At 43.5% G+C, this 2,169-nt stretch overlaps 1 annotated feature.

Annotated features, from left to right (window-relative positions):
* Nucleotides 1,344-1,846: an enhancer, noted in NCBI's record as "NANOG hESC enhancer chr9:30514410-30514912 (GRCh37/hg19 assembly coordinates)". NCBI's record gives its function as "activates a minimal SCP1, AML or CMV promoter by ChIP-STARR-seq in primed H9 embryonic stem cells {active_cell/tissue: H9 hESC(primed)}" and the evidence as "EXISTENCE:reporter gene assay evidence [ECO:0000049][PMID:30033119]".

Below are 2,169 nucleotides of genomic sequence, written 5' to 3'. Positions count from 1 at the left end.
GTTTTCCCCCAACCAGGTGTATCCTCAACCTTGGCAAAATAAACCTCTAAATTGATTGAGATCTTCCCCAGTCACTTTTTAGTTTACAGATTAGTTACACCTATGGAAAATGGAGCTATTGTCTTAAATTGGAATTATGTTAGTACATTTCTGTGTTGCTATAAAGGAATACCTGAGGCTGGGTAATTTGTAAGGAACAGAAGTTTAATTGGCTCACAGTTCAGCAGGCTGCACAGGAAGCATGGTACAAAGTGCAGCATCTGCTTCTTGTGAAGGCCTGAGGAAGCTTATAATCATGGCCAAAGGCAAACATGTCATCATGCCACATGGTGAAAACAGAGGCAAGAGAGAGAAGGGCAAGGTCCTAGACTCTTTTAAACAAGCAGATCTTGCATAAACTTAGAGTGAAGACTTTCTCATTACCACAAGGATGGCACCTAACCATTCATGAGAGATCTGACCCCATGATCAAAACACCTCCACGAGGCACCACCTTCAACATTGGAGATTACATTTCAATGTGAGAGATTTGGAAGGGACAAAACATCCAATATGTATCATTCTGCCCCTGGCTTCCCAAATTTTATGTTCTTCTCACAGTGCAAAACACAATCATCCCTTCCCAATAGTCTCCCAAAGTCTTAACTAATTTCAGCATCAACTCAAAAAGTCCAATCTCATTTGAGACTCAAGGCAAGTTCCTTTTACTTGTGAGCATGTAAGATCAAAAACAGGTTATTTATTCCAAGATACAATTGTGACACAGGCATTGGGTAACATTCTCATTCTGAAGGAATAAATCAGCCAAATGAAATAGGCAACAGGCCTCAAAGAAGTTCAAATTCCAGCAGGGTAGATATTAAATCCTAAAGCTCCAAAGTAATCCTTGACTCCCTGTTCTACATTCAGGGCACCCTGGTGCAAGAGATGGGCTCCCAAGGATTTAGGCAGCTCTGCCCCATGACTTTACAGGGTGCAGCTCTCATGGCTGTTCTCAAGGGTTGGTGTCCTGTGCCTGTGATTTTTCCATTCTGATGTTGCAAGCTGCTAGTGGCTGTAACATGCTGGGATCTAAGAGGTAGTGGCCTTGTTCCTACAGATTCACTAGACAGTAGTCTAGTGGGAACTCCATGTGAGGGCTCCAACTCACATTTCCCCTCAGCATTGCCCTAGGAGCAGCTATTAGGAGGTTCTCCATCCCTGCAGCAGGCTTCTGCCTGGCCACAGAGGCTTTTCTATATAGCCTGTGAATTCTTAGTGGAAACTATCAAGCCTTCTTCACTCTTGCATTTTATGTATCTGCAGGCTTAACATCATATGGAAACTTCCAAGGCTCATTGCTTGTGCCCTGTGGAGTGGTGGCCCAAGATATATCTGGGCTCCTTTGAGCAAAGGCTGGAGATGGAGTGGTCAGTGTGCAGAGAACAGTGTCCTGAGGATGCACAGAGAAGTGGAGCCCTGGAGTGGCTCCCCAAATCATTTAGTGCTTCTAGTCCTCTGAGCCTGTGATGAGAGGGGCTGCCTCAAAGATTTCTAAAATGCCTTTGAGGTATTTTTCCCATTGTCTTGGATATTAGCACTTGACTTCTTTTTAGTCATGCAAATAACTCTAACAAGTTGTTGCTCTACAGTCCATTTGTGTTCCTGTCCTAAATAGACTTGTTCCTTCTCTACCACACAGCTAGGTTACAAATTTTCCAAACCTTTACGTGATGCTTTTCTTTTAAATATAAATTTCAAATTTAAGTCATTCCTTTGCTCTCATATCTGATCATAGGCTGTTAGAAGCTGTCATGTTTCTTGCATGCTTTGCTGCTTAGAATTTCTTTTCTTTTCTTTTTTTTTTTTTTTTGAGATGGAGTTTCACTCTTGTTGCCCATGTTGGAGTGCAATGGCGCGATCTCACCTCACGGCAACCTCCGCCTCCTGGTTTCAAGCGATTCTCTTGCCTTAGCCTCCCGAGTAGCTGGGATTATAGGCATGCACCACCACACCTGGCTAATTTTTTGTATTTTTAGTAGAGATGGAGTTTCTCCATGTTGGTCAGTCTGGTTTCAAACTCCCAACCTCAGGTGATTCTCCCACCTTGGCCTCCCAAAGTGCTGGGATTACAGGCTTAAGCCACTGCACCTGGCTAACTGCTTAGAATTTCTTCTGCCGTGTACCCTA

This window comes from Homo sapiens, chromosome 9 (genome assembly GCF_000001405.40).
Source record: "Homo sapiens chromosome 9, GRCh38.p14 Primary Assembly".
NCBI classification, from domain to species: Eukaryota; Metazoa; Chordata; class Mammalia; order Primates; family Hominidae; genus Homo; species Homo sapiens.
The sequence above is the reverse complement of the archived record's forward strand: the minus strand, read 5'-3'. Positions and strand labels throughout refer to the sequence as shown.